The sequence below is a fragment of the Homo sapiens genome, chromosome 4 (assembly GCF_000001405.40).
Source record: "Homo sapiens chromosome 4, GRCh38.p14 Primary Assembly".
Classification (NCBI taxonomy): domain Eukaryota; kingdom Metazoa; phylum Chordata; class Mammalia; order Primates; family Hominidae; genus Homo; species Homo sapiens.
This window is the reverse complement of record NC_000004.12, coordinates 149718399-149734356: the sequence shown is the minus strand read 5'-3', so window position 1 is coordinate 149734356 and position 15958 is coordinate 149718399. Positions and strand designations below refer to the sequence as shown.

Sequence of the window (15958 nt, the reverse complement as noted above, 5' to 3'; positions counted from 1 at the left end):
GGTCTTCAGAGTTAGACAGATGTGCCTTAGAAACTTGACCTGTTTAAATTTTTATCTAATAATAACAGTCCAATGTTCCATCTTCGGTTGCCTGGAAAAATGTAATACTAGCACACTAAAACCTCCTTATTGACCTTTTGAGTCAGCAACAATTTGAATTTTTCTAAACCTTTTTTTTGGGTGTGTGTGTGTTGTTGGGGGAATAGGGAAGAACTATAGCTCTCTCTGTGTGTAGAACAGTTATGCTATTTGGATAATTACCTGTCAGAGACCTGGAGCTGTATTATTTCTCTGTTGTTCAAGGTGGTCAAAATAAAGAAGCAATTATGATTAAAGGATATGAAATGTATGTTGTATTACCAGTATGCTCTTTTTGAGAGGTTACCTCCATGTATGTTCAGTTATTTCTGGTTCAGCAAAGGAAGAGATTTGGGGGATGTTAGCATTTTATGGACATCTGAAAGTTCTTCAAAGATGGTTGAAAATAATTTAATTCTTACATGTCTATTTGAAAAACTCCTATTTTACAGTAGACTTGAAACCTGTAATTAAAAATATCACTTTGGGGAGAAAGTTGCTATTTTAAAATTTACATTTCTTTCAAAGGGGAATATAATCCTTATGCTTGTGAAGGACTTTTAGAGAGTGACATAGAATAACATCTGATTTAGCTGGTTACTGTCATTTGTAATTTACATTAGAGTAAATGTCTTATATAGCAAGGTACTTTGTAAAATGTATGTACTAGAGGTGCAATTTCATGAACTTATTAATAAAATATATAACTTTATTAAATAATGCATACTAAAATTAAATTTTGCCAAAATCTATTTTTGTTTTATTCATAGAATAAAGTTCAAGGTACTTCTATAAATGTTTTTAGAAAGAAACACCAAAAACCGAAATCTGGCAAATACATACCTTTGGAGATTGACAAAAAGGTAACACGTGATGTGGTGCAAGAACATCGGGCCGCACTCAGAAGGATTTGCTTTCCCAAGGAGCTTTCCAAAAGCGAGCATCTTCAGGAACCCCCACAACGAATCTCCTTCAAGGAACCACACATTTTTAGTAGAAGAGAAAGATGCAGGCCCATAGATCTAATTACAAAAGGTAAGTTTTTGGTGGAGTGAAGAAATTCAGCAAACTCACGGACAAAACTATTTGTTTCTTATGTGCCTGTAATGGAATTTTCTTTTTCAAATAATTCCCTGAACTTTAAATCTTAACAATGAAAGGTAGGGAGGCCTGATTATTAGAGCTGCTAATCTCTGGGCACCACCAGAAATTGAGATGAACCCATTCTAAAGGGAAAGAGAAATTTAGGGGAACAAAACTTGTTAGCCATGTCTTCCAGAAGTGATCTTCTTCCTAGTGAAAATCCTCAGAGACTGTTTATTTCACAGATGCTAAAGCAGCCATGGACGATAGCCCTGAATTCTGTTTTTGAGCAGGATCAATAGGATAGGCAACTTACTCGTGAGCGTGTTTCCTCAAAACACTAAAAAGATTTTTGGAAGCTATAGAGTTTTCCCTTAAAAGAAATTGTAAAGGTTTATCCTCTATCAGTAACATGGTAGGTGTAAATTAGAGATCGCTTTAAGCAAAGTGATATTGTTTTCCTGAAAATAATGGCTTGAATACATGACTGCTTATAATACATTTCTAGTATAGCTTTCACAGCCTCATCTTATTTTTTTCCTCTTACGTTATTTCTAAAGATGTTTATTTATTCATACACTCATTTGTATTTTTCCTATTCAACAAAGAATGACTGCTCTGTGCCAGGCACTAAGTTAAGAGCTGGAGAAACAGCAATTAAAAGGCTCAGAGAGTAATGGTGAGGATAAACACAGGGTAATTTCTTACTATACAGTGTAACAGTTGCTGTAAGAGGGTGAGTGTGAAGCATTATGGAAACACTGAGGAGCAACCAACCAAAGGCCAGAAGAGATTTCTCCTGAAAATTTATCAGAAGAGATCTCTTTAGAACTGGGTTTTCAGGAGAAGTAGGATGGAAACAGAAGATGCCATTCTGAGTCGCAGGAACAAAATGTATTAAAGCTCTGAAGGATGTAAGAATATGATATATTTTGGGAAGGGAGAGATGTGGTAGGAAATAAATTTTGGAAGATGGGTGGGCTAGAGTTTGAAGGGAATATAATAGTAGACCTAGAATTTGAACTTATGTTTAATGGAAAGACATGATGATTTCAAAGCTGTAGGTGGGGGAAGAGGTGAGGTATAATCAGATCTTTCTGTTAGAAAAATAAAACTGGCAGCAGAAACTGTAGAGAGAGTGATGACAGAGAGCTAAGTGAGGAGGCTGTCCAGGTGAGAGATGACAGGGCCTAAATTAGGGCAGTAGGGAAGCATAAAGTGTGGAGGAGGGCTGTTCCATCAGCATTTCTCAAAGCATGCTCTTCAGAATGTTAGTCCTGAGTGATTCAGTGACCTGACAAAGGGTTCTTTGGTTAGAAACATTTAAATAAAATACACGTTATATTCCTTATTGGAGATTCGTATTGATTATCAATATATTGAAAGGTCTAGGAAATACTGCAGAAAAGAAATCTGTTTACTGTTTTTAACCTTGCTACCCCCAGTTCATTTGGCCAAAGAACCCCCATTTTTTTTCCACATTATACCAGTTAATGTCCTTGAGACTAGTGTTCTTTTTAATACATTTTGATAAATTCAGAATTAGTGGATTATTTTAGGATGAATTAACTGGTTTTTGAAAAATCAACTGATGTGTAATGAAAATGAAGATGATAAGATATTGAGGCTTCTAGACTGAGAAACTGGACAAAAATCCTTAGGATGGGGTAGAAATTTAGAGACTATCTCAGTCTGTTCTTGCTGCTATAACAAAATGCCTGAATAATTTATAAACAGACTAAATTTATTTCTCATAGTTATGGAAGCGGGAAATCCAAGATCAAGGTACTAACTAGCATGTGGTTTTGTGAGGGTCCAGTCTCTGCTTCCAAGATGGCACCTTGAATGCTCTGTCCTCTCGATGGGACAAAAGCTGTGTCTTCACATGGTGGAAGGGATGGAAGGGAAAAGGGCTAGCAGCTCTCTGAAACCTCTCTTATTAGGACATTAATTTCCTTTATGAGGGTGAAGCCCTCATAACTTAATCACTTCCTCAAAGGTCCTATCTCTTAATACTATCACATTGGATCTTAGGTTCCAACATGAATATTGGAGACATACAAACATTTGAAGCATAATAAGGGGAGGAGCAGATTTTGGACAAGTGGGGAAAGGGATGGGGGAAAATAACGAATTCAGTTTTAGACCTGTTAAGTAGACACACATGTGGAGATAGCCATTAGGAAGTTGGAAAAGGAGACCTAGCACTTGAGAGGTACGTGAAGATTGAAGATAGATGTGAGGGATCACTACCGTACTGAAATTGTGGGGCTCATGCATTTCTTCACCTAACATTTGTTTAATTTAACATGTGAGGTATGAGAGACAAAAGATATGCTGCTTCCCTTCAAGAAATTCAAATTTGATGTATATAGTTTTTGCAGTGGCATTGAAGGACAATAAATAGACAATTATAGTATGACTCATACTGTAATAGAAAGTAACTCTACTGCTTTAAAGTGAATAGGAGGATATCTGATTCAGATTTAGGTGTCAGGAATAGATTCTCAGGAAATTTAAAGTCTTTGGTAAATTTTGAAAGATAAATAAGTGTTAACTCAAAAGAGAAAGAAAATTCTATCTAGCTAGAGGGCCTAGCATCTACCTGACAGTGGATCTCTGAGAAAGTGATTATGATGTTTTTGACAGAATTAAAATGATTTTACATGACTAGAACATGAGGATTGGGGAGTGATTACAGATAACAGACTAGATACTGAACAACACTGAATTTTAACCTAAAAGTTATGAGAACAATTTAAATGTTTTAAAGAGAAGTTGCAGTGATAATATTTGCATTTTAGCATGTTTACTGGCTGTAGAGATGGGGTATGATGGATTTTAGATGCATAGAGACCAATAAGGAGATAGTAATTCACACGGGGAAAGACAACTTAAATGAAGGTAGTAACACTGGGGATAGTGTTGGGAGAGATTTTACACACATTAGAAAGGTAGAGTTATTTAAACTTGGTCAACAATAAAGTAAAGCATAAGACACAGGGAAGAGCTGTGGTAGTGGGTTAGTGGTTTACACTAAGTGGCAGCATGAAGCCAGGTATAGCAAATTAGAAGGTTGGAGATGCATCTTATATAATGGTAAAAACTGCCACCACCAATAAGTTGGAATCTAGACCATGTACCTACTGAGCTTTGTAGCTTCAGGTAAAGAAGTTGGGAAATTCATTATTAAGACATATTGCTGGTTTCTGGCTTGCTTTGGGAATTATTATAAACATGAGATAAACTGAGAAAAGTCCTGGCTAGTCTACAATTAGAAATGAATGGGCATAGAGAGATACTAGGTACTTAGGGTCTTGGTTTTGAGCAAATATCTACTAATACTTAACATTGCAGCAAAAAGCATATTAAAAGTACATCTTTTACCACACAGCCCGTTATCTCAGATACCCTCATGGCAGTCATTATTGAGAGACTAATCCAAGGGGTAAAGGAAACAAAGATGCAAAGGAGATTTTAGAACCATATATTAAAAAAAATGACTGCATCCTGGCCAGCATGGTGAAACCCTGTCTCTGCTAAAAATATAAAAATTAGCTGGGCATGGTGATACGCTCCTGTAATCCTAGCTATTTGGGAGGCTGAGGCAGGAGAATCGCTTGAACCTGGGAAGCGGAGGTTGCAGTGAGCTGAGATCGTGCCACTGCACTCCAGCCTGGCAACAGAGTGAGACTCCATTTCAAAAAAGGTAAAAAAAACAACAAAAAAAAAAACAACAAAAAAAGACTTTGAGTGTGGTTATTGTCAGGCAGAATTAACTGGAAGCAAATAGATTAAAAAGCCTAACAGATTTTTTTAGAGAATTTCATTTCCAGAGAAACCATAAACCTTGATGTAATTGAATGTTCAAAAAGTAAGATAACCTAGATTTATCAGGAAGTGGTTGACACAAGCCGTACAACCTCCAAGGAGGGTAATAGCAAGATGTGTCCAAGGAGCAAGTAAAAGGCTTCTCAGAGAGTAGATCAAGAGGCCACTGAAAAAATGAAGAGAGCGCGTCCCAGGACAAAATCATTGTCTATTCAAGGAACTTCCCCACCTCCAGGTTAGGGGGCCTTCTCAGTGACTTTCCAATAGAATTCTATAACATCTTTGGACTGGTGACTATTATGTTTACTTTCTTCCCTTTCACTAATGGAGTTTTTACTGAGGTTATCCTATACCTGCTCTATTACTGTATGCTATATGCTTTGGGGAAGATGGAGATATCTTCTGTACTTGGGTCTCATATTACTGGACCGTAAGGAGCCACATCTGAACTTGTTGGATAAAACTGCACAGCAGCTGGAGGTCCTGCTCTCTGAGCTGGATGTAGTGCCTAGGGGGAACTTTGGGTTGTCATCTTTGGGGAGAGGAAAGGTGTGTTCTGTAAAGGAACAAGAAGGAATGAATATTTAGTGTCCTAAAGAACAGACTGTAGCAGAGACGGGATAGATGCTCATCAAACTTGTATCCTTTTCTTCCTTGGTACTTGGAAAATAGATGGGGCTATGTGATAGATTTGTCTCAGTGGATTATAGCTGGAAGTGATGCACATAAAATGCACATAAGTGATTCCCATAAAAGTGTTATGTGTTCTCCTCCCAATGTGGCTCCCCACATTTTCAAGTAGGAGGACTTCTTTTCAATATTCTTAAAATAATTAAACAGTGGTAATAGTACTTTTAATATGTGTTGATTAAAAAACTTAGTTCAGATATTCAGTAAATATACAAAGCTCAGTGCAGAGAATACAAAGGAGAAAAAATGGACATAAATTGTGTCCTCGTGGAACCTGTGGTCTAGCTAGGGAAACAGATATCAATTAACAATCACATATATACAGATTGAGAGTACATCACAAGTAAATTGGACATGGACTGTGTGTCTGCAAGACTTCCCAGAGGAAATGATATTTGAGCTAAGATATAAAAGATGCATAGGAATTACTCAAAGAGTGGGAAGTTTGAGGCAATTGCAAAACCATTTTCAATGACCCAAGGTGTGGGGCACATGGAAGAACTTTCAAATAAGTGAAAAAAGAGTTAATGTGATTGCAGTTCTGAGAATCAGCTGGAGAGGAGTGAGCTGAGACTGTATAAGAACAGAACCTTTTAGTCAGTGCCGTGCTAGCACATGTTTAACAACTGGCTCTGGTGAGGGGAGGGAGGAAGTCCTGGTTTGTAGTTTTTACTGATTTCCATGGTGTAAATACTCTTAACATAGCCAATTTCAAACTACCAATAGTGGTACCACTGATTACAGGAGTTGGGAAGAGATGTACACAGTCAGCTCTCCTGAGCAGGTCTGAGCTTGCTGCAGCACACCACTGCATGCAGGCCGTGTCAAACACTTCTCATTCATCACCTGAAATCCTCTTGGGCTCATCTCTTATTCCAGGCACTGCAGCCACTGCTAGGGTTACTGGTCCTTGTTCCATACTTCCTGGACTCCTTCCTGGCTTGAGACATTCATAGGACCAGCTTCAGCTGACACATAAACAACCAGGAAGGGGGGATGAGAGCCAGTGGATAAATGTTTCCTCCCTTCTGTCCCTGGGCAGAAGGGTCTCAATAACCTTTTATAAAGCTTCTCAGAAGGTTTCGGACAGTTAAGCAACCAGTATCTTATAATGATGGTCAACTCAGAAAAAAATTTCACATTAGTTTTCCCTTCTTGCTTGTTTTATTTTCTCCTCCTTCATTTCTAATATCACTTTAAAAATACTGTCATAAAAATATTTTGATGGCAGAATTGTCAGTACTTGCTGAAAGATTAGGTGTGGAGTGTAAGGGAAAGACAGCATGAAGGATGACTCTTAGGCTTTAGTCCTGATGAACTGGAAGATGAGAACTGCTACTTTCTGAGATGGAGAATAGAGAGATGCGTTTTAAATGGGCAGAAACCAAGAATTGGGATATGGATATTTTAAGTTTGAGGAGGCAATTAGACATGCAAATCAAAGCATCAAATAGGTAGTCCATTATAAGTAAGTGCAGACTCATGGGAAAGGTTGGAGTCATTAATTTATAGATAATATTGTCCAGTAGACATGCCACATGAGCCACATATAATAAAAAATTTTCTAGTGGCCACTTTAAACAGTAAAAAGAAACAGGTAAAATTAATTTCTATAATATATTTGGAGCCAGGCGTGGTGACTCACACCTGTAATCCCAGCACTTTGGGAGGCCGAGGCGGACAGATCACTTGAGGGCAGGAGATCAGCCTGGCTAACATGGTGAAATGCCATCTCTACTGAAAAATACAAAAATTAGCCAGGCTTGATGGCAGGCACCTGTAATCCCAGCTACCTGGGAGGCGGAGGCTGCAGTGAGCCGAGATTGCACCACTGCACTCTAGCTGGGAGACAGAGGAAAAAAAAAGATATATAGTATCTCAGTAATTTTTACATATATATATGTAAAATTATTGAGATATTATATATTTTTCATATTAAATCTTCAAAATCCAGTGTATATTTTACTTATAGTGATGCTTAAATTGGACTAGCCACATTTCAAGTGCTCATAGCTACATATGGTAATTGGCTATCATATTGGACAACACAGGTATAGATATTATTTACAGTCATAGACTTAGATAAGATCATTGAGGAAATAAATGTAGGTAGAAAAAAAATCCAAGAACTGAGCCCTGAGAATTTCTAACACTTAGAGGGCAAGAAAAGGAGTATCCAGCAAAGGAAGCAGAAAATGAACAGGAGCCAAATCAGGGGAGTGGGAAATATATTAGTCATATTTCAATTAAGGAGTAATGCATTAGAAAGGAGCAAGGACAGCTTATCTGTTGTCCCAAGAGAAAGGCAGGGACATGAGTGCAGATGCAGGTGGATTGATAGAGCAGGTGGTGAGATTACTTCAATTTTTTTTTCAATGAAGTTAGAAGTGAGTTATTCACTTGAGGGTAGGATGGGACCGAAAGTGTTGGGGTTTTGAGGAGCAAGGAGAAGGGTGAAATAATCAAATTTGGAAAAATGTGAAAGTGAAAATATAGTTTGCTATGAAAAAATGAAATTCTTTCTTTCTTTCTTTTCTTTCTTTCTTTCTTTCTTTCTTTCTTTCTTTCTTTCTTTCTTTCTTTCTTTCTTTCTTTCTTTCTTTTAGAGGGAAGAGAAATGGTTGGGAAGTGTCACTGAGCATCAGGGAAGAAACTGTCTTTGCCTAAAGCCCTAGGGTATGTGAAGGGTAGAATAAAGGAATAGCTATTCGTTGAGAGAGCTGCTGAAAAAGCTGTCTCCTTAGGAAAATAGGATTAGTAGAACAAGAAGATAGGGGGAACATGTACAGAAGATAGCAAGAATATTAATTTAGCAAATAGAAGCTCTTGGGTTTCTTAGGGCAAATGAAGAGTTTGGGAGCTGGTTCGAGGAAGGATGAAAGATGGCAGGTCTATGGAGATTGAGGTCAGCAGTAAGAAGAGTGAGAAGACTAGTTCTGAGGGTCACTTAGAATATGTGAGTAATCCTTTCTAATGATAGTCTCTTTTGGGGGATTTTTCTCTTTAGCACTTTGTAATCATGAGGCCAAAGTGTTGGGGGTGGACAATGTAAGAGGGAAGTGAAGATTTTATCAGGAGCACAAGGAGGACAGAAATCCTCCTGAAAATCTCATTATAGACTCTGCTGAGGTCAGAGACATGCTACTAGGAACCTTTGCATGTGCCTCACTAGACAGCTCTGAAATGCTGATCTTTGAGTTTATATTTGAATTAAAATTGCAATTCATTTTTCAAAGTTTTTATCTCAAAAGGCATGTATTAGCTCTGTACTTTGGATCTATTTTTAAAGCATATTCCCAATATTCACTTCAGGGTGAATGGAAGCATGATCTAAGATATCAGTGGCATTAATCCCAGAACTTGATTAAAGTCTGTGAGATTAGAAAGAAAAGTGTGTACTGCGTGTTTAGAGTATGTAGTTTCTGCTCAGACAGCCCAGACAAATTCAGTTGCATTATCTTCCATAAACTGAATATCTTATGTGAGAATAGGCCAAAGATTCCTTGAATTTGATCCAAGGATATCAACTTAAAGAATACCCTGTAACAATTATAGTATCAAATATCCTTTGTAAATATCTTCTTTGTGCTTGCCTGTAAATACATGCCCATAGTTTTGATACAGCAGTCAGGAAAAATATGAAATTATCTTCTCTTTCTGTGTATAGATATTCTACAGTACTGCTTAACCAGTTTGTATTGTCATTCTGCTGATAATTTATGAATCTTAATTATTAAAAATTATTAAATTTTAAATTATTAGATTACTAAAATGATTGACTATTAGAAATTAGAAATTTCATGTAAAATCAATGTTTTTGTAATATATATAAAATATTAATGTTAGTTAGCATATAATACAGTATTGTCTTGTCCATGTAGTACTATATAATATATAATTTGCATTCTCTCAGGAATTAAAAATATTTACGTCTATTTTGAGTTATTTAAATTTGAAAACAGGCTCTAATTAAGCTCAACAAGATTTCATTACATCCATGTCATGCACATATATTTAGGGTTGATATGGAGTTGTTCCTTACCCAGTCTGGAAGAAGTTAAAAATATGTATGAGTGTGTGAGTTGTGAGAGTGTGTTTGAGTGTGTATGTGTGTGTTTGTGATTGTGTATATGTGTTTATGGGTGTGGGAGAGTCTCTACATATTTGTATGAGTGTACGTGTATGTGTGTCAGAGAGAGAGAGAAAGAGAGAGTGTTTATGTGTTCCTTGGTCTCCAAATCACAAATCTTTTCCTTTATATATAAAATGAGAGCATAATAAATTGTAATAATGCTTTAAAATGACTACATAGCTAGAAGGCACTGGAGAAATCTATCAGAAAAAAATGACTTTGTGCTGTGATTTTTCCTTTGCCTACAGTGGTGACAACTTACCAAATAGTTTTTTGATCAACAATGTTTATGAAACCTAATTTATATTTTAATGATTTCAGGTATATGATCATTCCTTGGTATCTGTGGGGAACTGGTTCTATGAACTCTGCAGATTCCAAAATTGGCAGATGCTCAAGTCCCTTATTTAAAATGCTGTAGTACAGAAATACAAGCATTTGAGACTACTATGAACACCTCTATGCACACAAACTAGAAAATCCATAGGAAACAGATAAATGCTTGGAAATATACAATTCTCCTAGCTTGAATCAAGAAGAAATAGAAATCCTGAACAGACCAGTAACAAGCAATGAAATTTAATCAGTAATTTAAAAAAAATCTCCCAGGAAGGAAAAAAAAAAGCACAGGCCCAGATTCATAGACAAATTCTACCAGACATCCAAAGTAGAATTGGTATCAATCCTACTGAAACTATTCCAAAATATCAAAAAGGAGGAAATCCACCCTAACTCATTCTATGAAGCCAGTATCACCCTGGTACCAAAGCCAGGAAAGGAAATAACAACAACAACAAAACTACAGACTGATATGTCTGATGAACATAGATGCAAAAATCCTCAACAAAACACTAGCAAACTGAATCCAACAGTGCATCAGAAAGATAATTCACCATGATCAAGAGGGTTTCATCCCAGGGGTGCAGGGATGGTTCAATATGTGCAAGTCAATAAGTGTGATTCACCACATAAACAGACTTAAAAACAAAAACCATATGATTATCTCAATAGATGCTGAAAAAGCATTTGAAAAAATGCAGCGTCCCTTTACAATAAAAACCCTCAACAAACTAAGAATATAAAGAATATACCTCAAAATAATAAAAGCCATATATGATAGACCCACAGCCAATAACATGCTGAACAATGAAAGGTTGAAAACATTTCTCCTAAGTACTAGAACAAGAGAGGAGTACCTGCTTACACTACTTCTATTCAACATAATACTGGAGGTCCTGGGCAGAGCAATCAGGCAAGAGAAAGAAATAAGACGCATCCAAATTAGAAAAGAGGAAGTAAAACTAATTCTGTTTGCTGATGATATGATCTTATATGTAGAAAACCCTAAAGACTCCTCCAAAAGACTCCTAGATTTGAGCAATGAATTCTGTTTAGTCTCAGTTTACTAAAACAATATACACAAATCGGTAGCACTGCTATACACCAACAATGACCAACCTGAGAATCAAATAAAGAACTCAGTCCCTTTTACAATAACTACAAGAAAAGATACCTAGCAATATACTTAACCAAGGAGGTGAAAGATCTCTACAAGAACTATAAAACACTGATGAAAGAAGTCATAAATGACAGAAATAAATAGAAAAACATCTCATGCTCATGGATTGAAAGAAACAATGTCATGGAAATGACCATACTACTCAAAACAATCCACAGACTCAATGCAATTCTGATAAAATTACTAATATCTTTTTTTTCCCACAGAATTAGAGAAAACAGTCCTAAAATTCATATGGAACCAAATAAGAGCTCAAATAGACAAAGCAATCCTAAGCAAAAAGAAAAATTCTGGAGATATCACATTACCCTATTTGAAATAATACCATAAAGCTATAGTAACAAAAACAGCATGGTACTGATGTAAAAGTAGACACACAAGTCAATAGAACAGAATAGAGGACCCAGAAACAAAGCCAAATGCTTTATAACCAACTGATCTTTGACAAAGCAGATGAAAGCATACACTGGAGAAAGGACACCCTGTTCAATAAATGGTGCTAGGAAAATTGGATACCCACATGTAGAAGAATGAAACTGGATCTCTATCACTTGCCATATGCAAAAATTAAGATAGATTAAAGACTTAAATATGAGACCCAAACCATGAAATTCTAGAAGGAAACCTAGGAAAAATTTTTCTGGACATTGGCCTAGGCAAATAATTTATGAGTAAATTCTCAAAAGAAAACTCAACAAAAACAAAAATAAATTAATGGGACCCAATTAAACTAAAAAACTGCTGTCCTGAAAAGGAAATATTCAACAGAGTAAACAGATAAACTACAGAATGGGAGAAAATGTTTGCAAACCATGCATCTGACAAAGGGCTAATATCCAGAATCTACAAGAAACTCAAACAAATCAGCAAGGAGAAGACCAAATAATCCCATTTAAAAGTTGGTAAACCACATGAACAAACATTTCGCAAAAGGAGATATACAAATGGTCAAAAAACATATGAAGAATTCTCCATATCACTAATCATCAGGGAAATGCAAATTAAAACCACAATGAGGTACCACATTACCATAGCCAGAATGGCCATTATTAAAAAGTCAAAAAACAATAGATGTTGGCACAGATGTGGTGAAAAGGGAATGCTTATGTGCTGCTGGTGGAAATGTCAACTGGTACAACCTTTATGGAAAATAGTACAGTGATTTCTCAAAGAACTAAAAGTAGATCTACCATTCAACCCAGCAATTTCACTACTGGGTATCTACGCAAAGGAAAAGAAGTCATTTTATAAAGAAGACACCTACATGCACGTGTTTATCATAGCACAATTCACAATTGCGAAGATATGGAATCAACCTAAGTGCCCATCAACTGATGAGTGGATAAAGAAAATGTGGTATATTTATACCATGAAATATTACTCAGCCATATAAAAGAACAGAATAATGTCTTTTGCAGCAACTTAGGTGGAATGGAAGGACACTATCTTAAGTGAAGTAACTCAGGAATAGAAAATAAAATACTGCATGTTCTCACTTATAAGCCTGAGCTAAGCTAAGGCTGCACAAAGGCATATAGAGTGGTATAATGGACACTGGAGACTCAGAAGGGAGGAGGGTGGGCGAGGTCTAAAGAATGAAAAACTACCTATGGATTACCATGTACACTATTTGGGTGATGGGTACACTAAAATTCAAGACTTCACCACTACACAGTTCAATTAAGCAACCAAAAACCACTTGTAGCCCTAAAGCTATTGAAATAAAAAATATAAATAAAAGAAAAAAATGAAAATGGCGTATTTGCATATAACTTAAGCACATACTCTTGTATTCTTTAAATCATATTGAGATTACTTATGATACCTAATACAGTGTAAATCCCATGTAAATAGTGGTTGTATTGTTTTTTAAATTGTATTATTTTTTATTGTGTATTTTAAAAAAATATTTTCAACCTGCCATTAGTTGAATCAGTAGATGCTGAATCTACAGAAACAGATGACCGATTATACATACAAACATGCAGCAAACATGCTAAAATGTTTTTACTCATTCCTACAAAATTACTCGGAAGAATTTAAGACTAGGAGCCATAACAATTTATAAAAAAAGTGGAAACTAGAGATTGTTTTCAATGAGATGGAAAATTATGCTGAGTTTGGTGTCACAGAATAATTTGATTTGAAGTCTTGGAATTTGAAACATACTAATATCTCTCCATGCATAAAAACAGATCCTTATTGTGAAATTTCTAAATGAGAGAATAAGTTTGAGATAATCTCTTGAGAGATTATCACACGGAGAATTTTGCAAATGCTTCTACTTTTCTTCATTTCTTCCTGGTTTAGATTGCTGTATTTCTTCTCATTTCTTGTCAGGAATTTTCTTTTGCTTGCCCTTTTGAATGCTCTTGCAGAAAGAACCTAAACAGAATTCTTAAATTAGCACATGAATAGAATTATAATTCATATCTGAATGACAAATGTCTTGAACATGCTCCTTTCTTCTTTACACTTTTTCTCTTTTTATACTGACCTGGTAAGCTCCGAAATAGAAAGATGCAAGATGAGGACTCAGAGTAAGACAGGAGACTTGTTGCTTCTGAGCAACTTGGTTTCCTGCAGTGAAGTAGCCACAAAGTTCACTAACTTTTAATGAAGTTAATAGCATCTTAAATATGAATTAATATAATTGAATAAAACTATGAATACATAGAATTAATAGTATGTTATAAATAGAAAAGATATTAAAACATTATAAGGATTTAGAAGCAATTGAAACACATTCTTTTTTACCATTTTTCTTCTGCTAACTCTGATATTATTGGCCCAGAGGGGAAATTCAGGAATAAAAAAAATCTTAGAATAGAGTGGTGACTTGCAGAGGTTTTCTGATTAAGCACATGTTTTGGAACATTAGAACATGTTTGTTCAATGTTTTGTACTTGACAAAGAACACAGGCAGAGAATTAAGAGGTTAGTCAAATGTTTTACAGTGGCCCAGGGTCATTCTGTCAGCTTTATGTGGGTGTAAATAATACCACCTCTTCTGAGGAAGTGAAATGAGAGCAGTAGCTTTCTAGAAATGGTTTTCTATTTGTAGTGCAGACCCTCCTCAGTGAACATGTGTTGGTTTTGGCTTCTCGGTATTCTTTAACCTTAGAACTGGTAACAAGATTTCAGTCTGATTTGGAAAAATACTCCTCTACTTGGAGTTCATGCAGTTTGGGTAGGACTGTTATGTCACCTGTCAGCTTTGGGCTTGTGATTCAGGCATAGCCAATGGTATTAGATTATTCTCTTGGCCACAGTGATGGGTTGAGTGATGGGGCTTAATCCAACAAGGATGATGTGAGCTTGGAGGTCACAGAAGACAGTGTGAAATTCTGGAATAAAGCCAACATGGAAGAAAGAGCTGAATGGTGGAGGGAGATGAAGTACTGATGACATTGTTTATATCTCTGAATCAAGCATTGCTGAAGATAAACTTTAGCTGGACTTTCCAGTTTATGTGAATCAGTGAATTCCTCCCTTTTGAGAAGGCAGATAGATGGTTTAGTGTCTCAGAGCATGGGATTTCAACTTCCCAGGCTCAAATCCCAGCTTTATCACTTGGTAGTTTCTTATATTTGTTTCAGATAATTTAGTTTTCTGTTGGTAGTCACTGGAGGTCTAATGGAAACACCTTTCTTTTTTCTTTTTTCTTTTTTTTTTTTTTAAGACTGACTTTTGTTCCTGTTGCCCAGGCTAGAGTGCAATGATGCAGTCTTGGGTCACTGCAACCTCCACCTCCTGGGTTCAAGTAATTCTCCTGCCTCAGCCTCCCGAGTAGCTGGGATTACAGGCATGTGCCACCACACCCAGCTAATTTTGTATTTTTAGTAGAGATGGGATTTCACCGTGTTGGCCAGGCTGGTCTCGAACTCCTGACCTCAGGTGATCTGCCCACCTCGGCCTCCCAAAGTGCTGGGATTACAGGCATGAGCCACCATGCCTGGCCTGGAAACACCTTTCTTATCCAATCATTCTTGGAAAAATTTCACTTCAGGTGTAAATAGTAGGCTGAATAATGGCCACCCAAAGATATCAGATGATAATTCCTAGAACCTGTAAATGTTTTATTTGGGAAAAAGGTCTTTGCTGATGTGATTAATATAAGAATTTTTGGGTGGGGAGACTATCTTGGATTATCTAGGTTGGCTATAAATACTGTCACAAGTGTCCTTATAAAAGAGAGGCAAAGGGAGATTACAGACAAAAGAGGAAAACACAAAGAGACCATGGAGGCAGGATTCATGTGATGTAACCACACCAGTCTGGCAGTCGCCAGAAGCTGGAAGAGGCAAGGGATGGATTTGTCCCTAGAGGCTATGAAGGAGAGCAGCCCTGCCAGGATCTTGATTCTGGACTGCTGGCCTCCAGAACTGTGAGGAAATCGTCGTTTTAAGTCACAAGCTTCTGGTAATTTGTTTTAATGGGCATATAAAACTAATACAGTATACTTCTGAAAGTACATTTCAATTCTAGACATCATTTTTCTAAAATAATTTCCTTGTCAAAAGGAGTATAGAAGTGTGATCAATAGGCTAATTGTTTCAACTTTTGTCTCTTCATTCATGTATTTATTCAGCAGCTATATTAAACTCCTACTTGAACCAGATACT

General features: G+C 36.5%; 1 protein-coding gene across 19 annotated transcripts in view; it reads left to right on the top strand.

Moving 5' to 3' along the window:
* Positions 1–15958, top strand: part of IQCM (IQ motif containing M) — a 464135-nt gene that overhangs the window by 81487 nt on the left and 366690 nt on the right. For 18 of the 19 annotated variants that reach the window (NM_001378180.1, XM_017008904.3, NM_001363507.2 and 15 more), the window contains one exon: positions 849–1113. In NM_001378180.1, coding sequence (NP_001365109.1) covers positions 1085–1113 — 29 coding nt within the window. In that variant the 5' untranslated portion in view covers positions 849–1084. Of the gene's footprint in view, positions 1–848; positions 1114–15958 lie in introns of those variants that run through there. The other variant, XM_047450076.1, reaches the window with a different exon arrangement.